Genomic DNA, 13,911 nt, shown 5'->3' with positions numbered 1-13,911 from the left:
ACCTCCAGCTCTTTATATACCCATACAGGTTTAATAAAAGATCTTAAAAACGGAAATATTGCTAAGTCCAGAAGCCGTTAAACAAGAGACAACACATTCATGGTTTTCTTAATAAACAGGATTTGTTATAATAGATACTAAAATAAATACAGCCTACTTCTTAACTCAGAGTTTCTCTATCTCAGCACTGCTGATATTTTAGCTTAGGTAATTTGTCATGGGGGGATTTTAGCAGTTATCTCTGATTCTGCTCATTAGATGCCAATAGTAATCCCCGATCCCCATTCCACTCTGACAACCAAAAGCGTCTCTGGACACTGCCAAATGCTCTGGGGTGGGATGAGGGTTTGGGATGAAAAGACTGTCCCTTAGCTGAGAACCATGTTCTAAGTGATGTTTCACTTCAATAAATAAAAAGATAAATGAAAAGGAATTGTTAGTCCTATATAAAGGACTTTTCTTTGGGGGTGATAAAAAGGTTCTGAAATTAGATAATAATGATGGTTGAACATCTCTGAATATACTAAACCCCACCAAATCATACAGGGTCTTGCTCTGTCACCCAGGCTGGAGTACAGTAGTGAGATAATGGCTCACTGCAGCCTTGACCTCCAGGGCTTAAGCAATCCTCCCACTGCAGCCTCCCAAGTAGCTGGGACCACAGGTACATGCCACCACCCCTGGCTAATTTTTAAAATTTTTTTTGTAGAGACGTGGTCTCACTATGTTACTTAGGCTGGTCTTGAATTCCTGGGCTTAAGTGATCCTCTTGCCTTGGCATCCCAAAGTGCTGGGATTACAGGAGTGAGCCACTGCACACGGTCCAAACTGTATACTTTAAAAGTGTAAATTTTATGGTATACAAATTACATTGAATAAAGCTGTTACTAAAAGTGAGTTCTGCCACATTCTCCATAATTAAAAGCTACTTTAGGCCAGGTGTGGTGGCTCATGCCTGTAATCCCAGTACTCCGGGAGGCCAAGGTGGGAAGATCACCTGAGGTCGGGAGCTCGAGACCAGCCTGGCCAACATGGTGAAACTCCATCTCTAGAACCGCTTGAACCCAGGAGGTGGAGATTGCAGTGAGCTGAGACCACGCCACTGCACTCCAGCCTGAGCCATAGTGAGACTCTGTCTCAAAACAAAAACAAAAACAAACAAAACAAAAGCTACTTTAAATAATGAATAACAAATGTTTCCCTAAACCAACAACATTGCATAAACACAATCGATCCACCCAGAGTGCCTAGAATTAGACTAATTATATTGGTGTTTACAGCCCAGCCATGAAAAGACATTTCATGCAATGTAATACAATATTTCACCTTCACCTTTACTGCACTATATAGATGCTCCCTGACTTATGATGAGACTGTCAGGATAAACCCTTCTCAAGTAAAAAAATGCATTTACTATCCGGATAAACCCATTGTAAAGTCAAAAAGATCCCAGTGCAAGCCACCTTTTGATTTAGTTGGGGATTGGGTAAGTTTAGCATAGTAAAGACTGAGTCAAAACTCATAAGCTCCACCATCTTGACCCCCGTACGGGTTCAGTTACATGACCTCTCTGTGCCCAATTACTTCATTTTGACAGAAGATGCCATACTACCTTTTCCTTATCCCTCCAGGGATACTCAATTTGATCATATACATAATCAAACAAAATAAGTGCCCAATGCATGCCATGCTAACCATTACACAAAATGGGAGACAGGAGGTACACAAATTCAAGTTAAACTTCTTGATTTGGTACTTTCCCACTATCAGGACCATAGCAGTATCTACTACAAATTTAAGAAACTGGCTCATAAATGTACATAAGGCAAACCTAATTACAAATAATTACTTAAAATACTGTACTCAAGTTCAGTTATTTCCTCTACCATCACGAAAAGAGAATTCCAGAATGTTTTGAGATGAAATATACCTCTTTTTTCAATGACATTACTTAGAAACACTGCTTTATCTTAATTGACACTATTCTGTATTTGTATTTAAACTTTCATAAAGAGTTTTAATTTTGGCCTTCTGGGTATCTTACTCACAGAATAACATATACATGATAGAGGATGGAACTTGACACTAGGGAATCTGTAAGCAATATATAATGGCACCCCTTAAAACCATTTCACTGTGAGAGTCAGCAGTGTATGAAAACAACCACTGCAGAGCATCTTCTCCCTATAAAAATAATCAAATAAGATGTCACACAGGACTGCATTTTGAAGCATTATGGAAATGAAAGGCCTGTGCATGAGCTTACATATGTTATTTCCAATTTTAAAGTTTGTTTTTGTTTTTTTTTTTTGAGACGGAGTCTCGCTCTGTCGCCCAGGCCGGAGGGCAGTGGTGCAATCTCAATTCACTGCAACCTCTGCCTCCTGGATTACAGGCGTGAGCCACCACGCCCAGCCCAAAACCCCGCTAATTTTTGTATTTTTAGTGGAGACTGGGTTTCACCATGTTGGCCAGGCTGGTCTCGAACTCCTGTTCTCAGGTGTTTCACCCACCTCAGCTTCCCAAAGTGCTGGGATTACAGGCATGAGCCACTGCACCCTGCCCAATTTGAAAGCATTTTAAATGTTAACCTGTATCAAACGCATTTGATTCCCTCTAGGTAAGGGGACAGCAGATAAATAATGACCACTTTCCAGATAAAGAAACTGAGATTCAAGCGGTAACTGGCTTATTACTGGCAAGTCTACTAAAGTAGTCACAATGAAAATTTAAGAAAAATGAAAAACTTCGTATTTTTAAGATTTTTTTTTGAAATGGAGTCTTGCTCTTTTGCCCAGGCTGGAGTGCAATGGCACAATCTCGGTTCACTGCAATCTCCCCCTCCCAGATTGAAGCGATTCTCCTGCCTCAGCCTCCGGAGTAGCTGGGATTACAAGCACGCGACACCACGCCCAGCTAATTTTTGTATTTTTAGTAGAGACAGAGTTTCACCATGTTGGTCAGGTTGGTCTCCAACTCCTGACCTAGTGATCCGCCCGCCTCGACCTCCCGAAGTGCTGGGATTACAGGCGTGAGCCACCGCGCCCGGCCTTTAAGAATTCTTTTTAAGAAGCAAAGCAAGGAATTAAGTGTACTGGCTCAATGTATCAAGTTTCTAGGAATTCAAACTATCCTCATTCTATAGTTAGTTCTGAGACCTACCTTAGTTCTTGAAGGTCAATAATGGATCACACTGGAAACTGGTATTGCTGCAAAGAATTTTTTGGTCTCATTTAACAGTAAAAGAGGCGTATGAAGTTGTTTTATGTATTTTCACACAGAACACATAACATCCATTTCCCACATCAGGGAATACTGGTTACTTCACAAAGCCAGTGTGACTGGAAAGAGGAGCGGGGAAACAATCCGATAAACCCCAGATTCCTCAAGAACAGACTGAAAGATGTGACTTGTGCTCAGATACCAGTACCAGCTAAAAAGATTTACTGAAGTGAATTAAAGGAGATGAGGGTTTTCAAGGGGGTAGAGTAAATATGGAAGAACAAGAGAATGGGACGTCAGAGTAAATCCCTTTTATCAGTCTGGATTTCCCTCAACTCGGTAAAACGAAGGACATGAATTGCTGTCCTATGTTCCGCCTCTAAAAATTACACAAAAGTTAAGAAAACACAGATTTTCTTCACTAAATTACGATACTAAACTGTTAAGGTGGCAAATCCAGACCAAGTAAGTACTTTAAGCAATGGTTAGTTTAAAATATATTTAGGACTTTTACTAGCCCACTGGAGAAAAAAATATGAACATTTTTGTAAACTTCAGATGCTTTCGGGCAGCGTCCTAAACTGATGATGACACCTTGATACTTTTAAGTTGCTAAGGAGTCTCAAAGATTATGACCTTGCTCTGCCAGCTGAGAGCAGTGTGGCCTTAAATAATATTCCTTAGCTGAGAAATACCACTAGCTCTCTGCAGTACCTCAGGATGGAAGGAGACAACATGCACAAAAGTGCTTGGTCAACTGTCAAGCGTTACACCAATGAAAGATGTTCAAATGCACCTCAAATTTCTCAACATTTTCCAAAGCCAACCAAAACCCTTAGCTTCTTTGTAATAGAGACGATGAATTACTAGGTAAGAAATGAGCACCCAGAGATAGAAGTTCAAATAATGTTTTGAAGAATGCAAGGTCATGCCAGAGAAAACAAACTATATTCCTCAAACTAAAATCAATGCTACAAGATGTTGGGTCATCACTGCTTTTATAAGCCCATTAGAAATGTAATTAGACTTGCAAGGCACTGATACTCCCCTCCAAGGTTGTCTAAAGAAGTAAGCAACTCCAGCCATTAGTAAGCACTATTTTAAAAGTACCTGCTGGTAGTTGCACAGTTACCTTAAAAAAAAAAAAAAAAAAAAAAAAAAAAGGCTGAAATCTACCATTGGAGCTATCCAAATTCAACCAACATGGAAGCGCCGGAAGCGAAACCTGATCCTGGCATATAGCTGCGCTGAGTAAAAAATGCCTCCAATTGAGTATGAGAAAAAAGCCTAGAAGGAAATCTAGGTGCACACCGGTGCTTCTCCAACACGTGGGCGCACCTAACTGGATTCCCCACCCCCATCTAACGCCAATAGCACCAACCTCCAAGGCTAACACACACACCCTTAGAAGAATACAGGCACAGGGCCCACACTCTAGAAAGGGAAGAGACAACCTAAAAGGACATAAGTGCGCAACACAGGCGCGTTAAAAAGCTTCCCATCTGGGTTCTAGCGCACGCATTGAAGGCGCGCCCGTCTCTACTACCCTCGTGTCTCCTACCGCGCACGCGCACCGCTGCCTTCCCCCGCCCCTCCACCAACTCGCGCTCGCGTTCCAACTGCTCCCCCCCACCACACTTACTCCCCTACCCCCCACTCCGGTCCGCTACAGCCTCGCGCCTTGGAGACGTAGTCTAATGTGCACTCGTCCGCGCAGCAACCGCCTCCTTCCTTCCTCCACGCCTTCACGCGGGCACGGTGATTCACGTCTACGAAAAGGCCTCGCACCACCCGCACACCTTTCTGCGCCTCCTTCCCCAATTCAAGCCAGAGTCTACCATTACTGCCTATTCCAATCTCGCGCAGAAAGGGTGAAAAGAGTGTGAGGGGGAGGGGAAGGTGTCCTTCCCCTCCCCCCCAAACATCCAGAGGCAGTAACCTAACAGGGCCACGCCGCCAGCCTGCCGCAGCCCTCAATTCAGAAAGGAACCAGTGCCAGCAATTCCCCGACTTCAGGAAATCAGTGGATCACGCTCGGAGGGGGGTTTCAGAGCCCAGTCCTTGGCCGCGCTCGGCTGCTCGCTCACCTGAGGCCGCCATGTTGGGAGAGGGAAAGAGAACGCAAAAGACCCGGATGAGGCAATCACGTGATTATAGCGGGCGCGTCGAGCTAGGAGACGCGAAGCTGGGAGGGGGCGGGGAGGTGAGGACGGAGACAGGAGGCGGGGCGGCGCTGCTCTAGGTTCGTAAAGCTGCGCGGCGAGGTGGCACGCCGTCCGACGGGAAGACATGCGCGACATGTGGCCAAAGGGGCGGGGCCTGGGTTGTCGCGAAACCCCTCACGCTTTACGTAGGGCTACACGCGAGCGCGGGGCTGGAGCTGAGTCCTGGCCGGCCTCCTGACGCACAGACTTCCTGCCGGAAGAGTGGCGGGAAGGGCGGGGCTTCGCTGCTGCTTCTGCTTACTCTGCACGGAGCCGGTGATGGGTGTGGCGAAATGGATGTGCTGAAAGGGAAGATTCTGAGTTTAATGTACTTTTTTGAGACGGAGTTTCGCTCCTGTTGTCCGGGCTGGAGTGCAATGGCGTGCGCGACCTCGGCTCATTGCAACCCCCGCCTCTCGGGTTCAGGCGATTCACCTGCCTCAGCCTCTGGAGTAGCTGGGATTACAGGCGCCCACCACCATTCGCTGCTAGTTTTTTGTATTTTTAGTAGAAACGGGATATTTCACCATATTGGCCATGCTGGTCTTGAACTCCTGGTCTCAGGCTATCCACCCGCCTCGGCCTCCCAAAGTGCTGGATTATAGGCGTGAGCCACCGCGCCCGGCCTAGTTTTTAAAAGCCACATCAGAAATCACTGATTTTATTTTTATTTATTTTTATTTTTTGAGACGGGGTCTCGCCCTGTCTCCCAAGCTGGAGTGCAGTGGCGCGATCTCGGCTCACTGCAGCCTCAACCTCCGGGGCTCAAGCAGTTCTTCCACCTCAGCCTCCTGAGTAGCTGGGACCACAGGCGAGTGCCTCCAGGACCAGCTAATTAAAAAAAAGTCTTTGTGTGGAGACAGAGTGGCGGGCTTGGGGGGGGCGGTGTGTCTCCCTGTGTCGCCTGGGCTGGTCTCGAACTCCTGGACTCAAGCATTCCTCCCTCCGAGGCCTCCCACAGTGCCGGGATTACAGGCATCAACCACTGTTTGTTTTCAAATTACTTTTTGTAAAGGCAAAACAAATCGAACGTCTTGTGTAAGAATGGTTTTAATGAGGCATATTTAGACGGAATAAGAAGGTAACAAATGCTGAACACTTAATTGTCATGGGCTTTTACCTCATTTAATGGTCCAATTTGCTGACTAGGTTTAGTCCAACTTAGGCCTTTAGGATTTCTGAGACTAGGGCTATTCATGCTTCCCCTAGCTGATGTTCCATTTCATTCATTAAATGAAAATTTTTGTTTCCCACCGTGTGCCAGGCACAGACACTTGCGGGTACAACATGGAATAGAACTGTCCCAAAAGAGGTTATATTCTAGTGGGGGAAGGACAGATAATAAGCAACTAATAAAATATTACAACAAGTATTCTGTGAGTAATTAAAACAAGGTGGTGTAATAAGTTATTAGGTGCAACTTTAGATTGCCTGTCAGAGTAGACCTCTGAGGAAGTGACATTCAGACAGAGGTCTAAATTACAAGCTGCCATCCCTGGGAATGTCTTCTGAAGAGGTTTAGGAGAAGACAGGATGCGCAGTTGGGTTTGCTGCAATATGGTGAGGGCAGGGGAGGGAGGAGTGGTACAGGATGAATCTTGAGAGAGAGGGGCTGGATCATGTGAGGCTGATCATGTGAGGGGATTGGGAAAGTGTGGAATGATTTAAGGCAGAGAAATGTCATGAGTTGAAATAAAATTTTAAAAAGGATTACTTAGTATCCTGATGTGAGTGGTGGTTACATGGGTGTATATCTAGAATTCGTATACTTAAGATTTGTGAATACTTAAGATTTGTGTACTTTATGTAAGTCACGCGTTAATTAGAAAAAAAGAGATTACTCAGGCTACTGAATGGAGAGTGCAATTGTCAGAGGTGTTTGAACCGGAGCAACTCCTTGAATAGGGCTGGGTAAAATAAGTCTGAGACCTACTGGGCTGCATTCCCAGAATGTTAGGCATTCTTAATCACAGGATGAGACAGGAGGTCAACACAAGTTATAGGTCACAAAGACCTTGCTCATAAAACAGCATGCAGTAAAGAAGCCAGCCAAATCCCATCAAAACCAAGATGGCGACTAAATTGACCTCTCCTCACTGCTTATTATATGCTAAATATAATTCGTTAGCATGGTAAAAGATACTCCCACCAGGACATGACAGTTTACAGATGCCATGGCAATGTGAGGAAGGGGGAGGAACCCTCAGTTCGGGAATCGCCCTCCTCTTTCCAGGGAAAACATGAATAATCCACCCCGTGTTTCCCATATAATCAAGAAATAACGGTAAGTATTCTTAGTCAAGCAGCCCATGCTGCTGCTCTCTGCCTATGGAGTAGCCATTCTTTTATTCCTTTTTCTTTTCTTTTTTTTTTTTTTTTTTGATACGGAGTCTCGCTCTGGCGCCCAGGCTAGAGTGCAGTGGCGCGATCTCGGCTCACTGCAAGCTCCGCCTCCCGGATTCACGCCATTCTCCTGCCTCAGCCTCCCGAATAGCTGGGACTACAGGCGCCTGCCACCGCGCCCGGCTAATTTTTTTTGTATTTTTAGTAGAGACGGGGTTTTACCGTGTTAGCCAGGATGGTCTCGATCTCCTGACCTCGTGATCCGCCCGCCTTGGCCTCCCAAAGTGCTGGGATTACAGGCTTGAGCCACCGCGCCCGGCTTTTTTTTTTTTTTTTTTTTTTTTTTGAGACGGAGTCTCGCTCTGTCGCCCAGGCTGGAGTGCAGTGGCGGGATCTCGGCTCACTGCAAGCTCCGCCTCCCGGGTTCACGCCATTCTCCTGCCTCAGCCTCCCAAGTAGCTGGGACTACAGGCGCCCGCCACTACGCCCGGCTAATTTTTGTATTTTTAGTAGAGACGGGGTTTCACCGTTTTTAGCCGGGATGGTCTCGATCTCCTGACCTCGTGATCCGCCCGCCTCGGCCTCCCAAAGTGCTGGGATTACAGGCGTGAGCCACCGCGCCCGGCCGGCTTTTTTTTTTTTGAGACAGGGTCTCACTTTGTTACCCAAGCTGGAGTGTAGTGGCAAGATCATGGCTCACTGCAACCTCCACCTCCCGGGCTAAAGCGGTCTTCCTACCTTAGCCTCCCGAGAAGCTCAGACCACAGGCATGTGCCATCATGCCCAGCTGATTTTTGTATTTTTTTTTGTAGAGATGGGGTTTCCCTGTGTTGCCCAGGCTGGTCTTGAACTCCTGAGCTCAAGTGATCCGCCTGCTCCAGCCACCCAAAGTGCTGGGATTATGGGTGTGAGCCACCATGCCTGGCCAATTCTTTTATTCCTTTGCTTTCCAAATAAACTTACTTTCACTTTTTGGACTTGCCCAGAATTCTTTCTTGCATGAGGTCCAAGAACCCTCTCGTAGGGCCTGGATCTGGACCCCTTTCTGGTAACACAATAATGGAAGAGAAGGTCCAGTTAAAGGGTTGTTGCTCCGCTGAGTGGGGTGGCTCACACCTGCACTTTGGGAGGCTGAGGCTAGCGGATCACCTGAGATCAGGAGTTCAAGACCAGCCAGGCCAACATGGCGAAACCCTGTCTCTACTAAAAATACAATTTTTTTTTTTTGAGACGGAGTCTTGCTGTCTCACCAGGCTGGAGTGCAGTGGTGCTATCTCGGCTCACTGCAACCTCCACCTCCCGGGTTCAAGCTATTCCCCTGCCTCAGCCTCCTGAGTAGCTGGAACTACAGGCACACGCCACCATGCCTGGCTGATTTTTGTATTTTAATAGAGACAGGGTTTTGCCATGTTGGCCAGGATGGTCTCAATCTCCTGACCTCACCCGTCTCGGCCTCCCTAAGTGCTCACGCCTGTAATCCCAGCTACTCAGGGAGGCTGAGGCAGGAGAATCGCTTGAGTCCAGCAGGCAGAGGTTGCGGTGAGCCGAGGTCATGCCACTGCACTCCATCCTGGGTGACAGAGCGAGACTCTGTCTTAAAAAAAAAAAAAAAAAAAAAGTTGTTGCTAGCTAGGAGCTGTGGCTCCTGCCTGTAACCCTAACGACTAGGGAGGCTGAGGTGGAAGGATTGCTTCAGGCTAGAGTTTGAGGCTGCAGTGAGCTATAATCACACCATTACACTCCAGCCTGGGCAACAGAGCGAAACAGACCCTATCCCTAGAGAAAAAATGGTTGTTGCTGCCCAGGCTACGTAACTTTTCATGGGCTGTAGGCACTTTTGCCTAAATAACTATAATAGTTATTGAAGATAACTCCTAAGATTTTGGCATGAGCTGCTGGGCGATGCCTTTTACTTAGATGGTAAAGCCTGGGTGGAACAGGTTTGTAGAGGGTGTGTGGGCTCTGTTTTGGCCCTGCTATGTTTATGATATGTACTAGTCCAGTGCTTCTCAGATTTTAATGTTTACCAATCACCTGGAGAATTTGTTTTAACTTTTAAGTCAGATTCCAATTCAGTAGGACTGAGATGAAGCATGAGATTCTGTATTTTTTCTGGTTTGGATCATTAAAATGGAATGAAATCTGAGAATTAAGACCATTAACTTAAGAATTAAGTTGACCAGGCCGGGTGCGGTGGCTTACGCCTGTAATCCCAGCACTTTGGGAGGCCAAGGCAGGCGGATCACGAGGTCAGGAGATCGAGACCATCCTGGCTAACATGATGAAACCCCATCTCTACTAAAAATACAAAAAATTAGCCAGACGTAGTGGCGGGCCCCTGTAGTTCCAGCTACTCGGGATGCTGAGGCAGGAGAATGGCGTGAACCCGGGAGGCGGAGCTTGCAGTGAGCCGAGATCGTGCCACTGCACTCCAGCCTGGGCAGCAGAGCGAGACTCCGTCAAAAAAAAAAAAAAAAAAGAAAAAAGAATTAAGTTGACCATTGGAGGCAGTAGATTTCAAAAGGTTCAGAGAAAAGCCAAATAAAATAGGGATGTATTGGGTAGGGAGAGACTTCTAGTTACTGAGCATTTAAAATATGCCAATGTTATGACACTTAATGAACTAGCTTATTTAGTCTTCACAGTGGCCCTGTAAGGTTGATGAGATTAATCTCATTTTTAGGTAATGACAGCAAGATTCAGAAACAAGAAGTACCAACCAGGCATGGAGGCTCACGCCTGTAATCCCAGCACTTTGGGAGGCCGAGTTGGGTGGATCACTTGAGGTCAGGATTTCGAGACCAGCCTGGCCAACATGGTGAAGCCCCATCTCTACTGAAAAAAAATAAAAAGGTCGGGCGCAGTGGCTCACGCCTGTAATCTCAGCACTTTGGGAGGCCAAGGTGGGCAGATCACCTGAGGTTGGGAGTTGGAGTCCAGCCTAATCAACATGGAGAAACCCCGTCTCTACTAAAAACACAAAAGTAGCCAGATGTGGTAGCGCATGCCTGTAATCCCAGCTACTCGGGAGGCTGAGGCAGGAGAATTGCTTGAACTTGGGAGGTGGAGGTTGTGGTGAGCTGAGATAGCACCATTGCACTCCACCCTGGGCAACAAGAGCAAAACTCCGTCTCAAAAAAAAATAAATAAATAAAATACAAAAATTAGCTGGGCGTGGTGGCAGGCACCTGTAATCCCAACTATTTGGGAGGCTGAGGCAGGAGAATTGCTTGACCCAGGAGGCGGAGGTTACAGTGAACCAAGTTCAAGCCACTGTACTCCACCCTGGACGACAGAGTGAGACTCAAAAAAAAGAAAAAAAAATCCTGCCATTTTTGACAGCATGGATGAACCTGGAGGACATTATGCCAGGTGAGGAATTTTTTTTTTTTTTTTTTTTTTTTGAGACGTAGTCTCGCTCTGTCACCAGGCTGGAGTGCAGTGGTGCAATCTTGGCTCACTGTAACCTCTGCCTCCCAGGTTCAGGCAGTTCTCCTGCCTCAGCCTCGTGAGTAGCTGGGACTACAGGTGCACACCGCCACGCCCAGCCAATTTTTTGTATTTTAGTAGAGACGAGGTTTCATCATGTTGCCCAGTCTGGTCTTGAACTCCTGAGCTCAGGCAATCTGCCCGCCTCAGCCTCCCAAAGTTCTGGGATTACAGGCGTGAGCCACTGCGCCTTGCCTATTCCACTCGCTTCTATTTTGTTAAGGTTAGGAAGCTAAAATAATGGATATATTATTGTTTTCTGTTTTCTCTCCCAAGCAATATATATCACTACTTTAAAGATGTGTATTTCTGCAGAATAAAATATTTTTATTGCTGAGTTTCGAATGTGTGAGGTTAATTTTAAATATATATGAATATTATGTACAGGTTCTGTTTCTGGTTTGGTAAATAAGTTCCCAGCAGATCAATCCTGTCATAGATAATGATAATCTCTGGACAAAAATAAAAAGAGAAAACCCACAATTATCTGAAAGCTGTGGAGAATGCACAAAGGCAAGCAGTTTTGGAGGGGAGTTGAAACTTGAAAGCAGGTGCTGAACTGGGGTGGAATAGTGGGGTGTCGGGGGCTGAAGTTTGTGTCACATTTGTGTCATGAGAAAGGCATTGACCAAGACATTCTCAACTACCAGAAAGTGAGGGGGGAATCTTGTACAGAAGAGAGCCAGAGTTCTGTGTTCAGACTCTGCCCAAATCTGGCTGGTCCTTGAACCATGCATGCATAGAGCAGGGTACAAACAGTTCAGCTAAGGAAAACAATAATAAAGACTTAAACTGAGATCCCAGCTGCTATCTATTTCAAGTGAGTGAGTTTGTAGTTTGAGTCTAACCGATTTAATGTCCTGCTAAAATAAAAACATCAACGTCTTTGGAGGGCATATTAGTTTCCTGTTCTTGAAGTAATAAATGAACAGAAATTTAGCGGCTTAAAACAACATAGAGTTATTCTTTTACAACTCTGGAGGTCAGAGTCTGAAATGGGTTTCACCGGGCTAAAATAAAGGTGTTGACAGACTGTGTTTCTGTGGCCGGATGCCGTGGCTCACGCCTGTAATCCCAGCACTTTGGGAGGCCAAGAGTGGGTGGGTCACCTGAGGTCGGGAGTTCGAGACCAGTCTGACCAACATGGGGAAACCCTGTCTCTACTAAAAATACAAAATTAGCCGGGTGTGGTGGTGCATGCCTGTAATCCCAGCTACTCGGGAGGCTGAGGCAGGAGAATCACTTGAAACTGGGAGGTGGAGGTTGCAGTGAGCTGAGATCATGCCACTGGACTCCAGCCTGGGCAACAAGAGTGAAACTTCGTCTCAAAAAAAAAAACAAAAAAACAAACAAAACTGTGTTCCTTCTGGAGGCTTTAGGGGAAAATCCAGGGTTTTTGTTTTGTTCTGTTTTTTGCCTTTTCCAGCTTTCATAGACTGCCTATGTTCCTTGACTCATGGTCCCCTTCCTCCGTATTCAAAGGTAGCAACATAGGTTTGAATCTTTCTTACATTGAATCACTTTGACTCTTTTCTTCTGCTTTTCCCTCTTTCACTTTTAAGGACCTCTGTAATACATCAGGCTCACTTGGATAATCCAGTATAATCTCTTTTTTTTTTTTTTTTGAGATGAAGTCTTGCTTTGTCGCCCAGGCTGAAGTGCAATGGTGCAATCTTGGCTCACTGCAACCTCCACCTCCTGGGTTCAAGCAATTCTCTTGCCTCAGCCTCCTGAGTAGCTGGGATTACAGGTGCCTGCCACCACGCCTGGCTAATATTTGTATTTTTAGTAAAGACGGGATTTTGCCATGTTGGGCAGGCTGGTCTCGAACTCCTGACCTCAGGAGATGCGCCCACTTTGGCCTCCCAAAGTGCTGGGATTACAGGCCTGAGCCACTGCACCCAGCCAATCTCCCTATCTTAAAATCATCTGGTTAGCAGGCCAGGTGCGGTGGCTCACGCCTGTAATCCCTACACTTTGGGGGGCAAAGGTGGGTGCGTTGCCTGAGGTCAGGAGTTTGAGACCAGCCTGGCCAACATGGTGAAACCCCATCTCTACTAAAAATACAAAAATTAGCCTGGTGTGATGGCAGGTGCCTGTAATCCCAGCTACGGATGCTGAGGCATGCAAGTTGCTTGAACCCAGGAGGCAGAGGTTGCAGTGAGCTGAGATCGCGCCACTGCACTCCAGCCTGGGTGACAGAGCAAGACTCCGTCTCAAAAAAAAAAAAAAAGATCTGGTTAGCAAACTTAGTTCCATTTACACCCTTAATTCCCCTTGGCCATGTAACATGACATATTCAAAAGTTCCAGGGATTTAGATTTGGAGATCTTTGGGAGGATATAACCACAAAAGGATATAACAGAATCTAGAGTCTCTACAATGTAACATTCACAATGTCCAGGATATGGGCCAGGTGTGGTGGCTCATGCCTGTAATCCCAGCACTTTGGGAGGCCGAGGTGGGTGGATCATGAGGTCAGGAGTTTGAGACCAGCCTGGCCAACATAGTGAAACCCCGTCTCTACTAAAAATACAAAAAATTAGCTGGGTGTGGTGGCGGGCACCTGTAGTCCCAGCTACTTGGGAGGCTGAGGCAGAAGAATTGCTTGAACCCAGGAGGCAGAGGTTGCAGTAAGTGGAGATTGCACCAC

General features: G+C 46.2%; 1 protein-coding gene across 3 annotated transcripts in view, besides 3 other annotated features; it reads right to left on the bottom strand.

Annotated features, from left to right (window-relative positions):
• The window catches only part of EIF4B (eukaryotic translation initiation factor 4B), a 35,760-nt gene extending 30,410 nt beyond the window's left edge, over positions 1-5,350 (bottom strand). For all 3 annotated transcript variants that reach the window (NM_001300821.3, NM_001417.7, NM_001330654.2), the window contains exon 1: positions 5,310-5,350. In NM_001300821.3, coding sequence (NP_001287750.1) covers positions 5,310-5,322 — 13 coding nt within the window. In that variant the 5' untranslated portion in view covers positions 5,323-5,350. The remainder of the gene's footprint in view (positions 1-5,309) is intronic.
• Positions 4,492-5,235: an enhancer, noted in NCBI's record as "NANOG-H3K27ac-H3K4me1 hESC enhancer chr12:53400355-53401098 (GRCh37/hg19 assembly coordinates)". NCBI's record gives its function as "activates a minimal SCP1, AML or CMV promoter by ChIP-STARR-seq in primed H9 embryonic stem cells {active_cell/tissue: H9 hESC(primed)}" and the evidence as "EXISTENCE:reporter gene assay evidence [ECO:0000049][PMID:30033119]".
• Positions 5,236-5,979: an enhancer, noted in NCBI's record as "NANOG-H3K27ac-H3K4me1 hESC enhancer chr12:53399611-53400354 (GRCh37/hg19 assembly coordinates)". NCBI's record gives its function as "activates a minimal SCP1, AML or CMV promoter by ChIP-STARR-seq in naive and primed H9 embryonic stem cells {active_cell/tissue: H9 hESC(naive and primed)}" and the evidence as "EXISTENCE:reporter gene assay evidence [ECO:0000049][PMID:30033119]".
• Positions 8,395-8,557: a silencer, noted in NCBI's record as "fragment chr12:53397033-53397195 (GRCh37/hg19 assembly coordinates)". NCBI's record gives its function as "represses an EF-1alpha promoter that drives an FKBP-Casp9 reporter gene in an ReSE screen in K562 erythroleukemia cells {active_cell/tissue: K562}" and the evidence as "EXISTENCE:reporter gene assay evidence [ECO:0000049][PMID:32094911]".

This window comes from Homo sapiens, chromosome 12 (genome assembly GCF_000001405.40).
Source record: "Homo sapiens chromosome 12, GRCh38.p14 Primary Assembly".
Lineage (NCBI taxonomy): Eukaryota > Metazoa > Chordata > Mammalia > Primates > Hominidae > Homo > Homo sapiens.
Note: the sequence above shows the minus strand (reverse complement) of the source record. Positions and strands in the feature narration are given on the sequence as shown.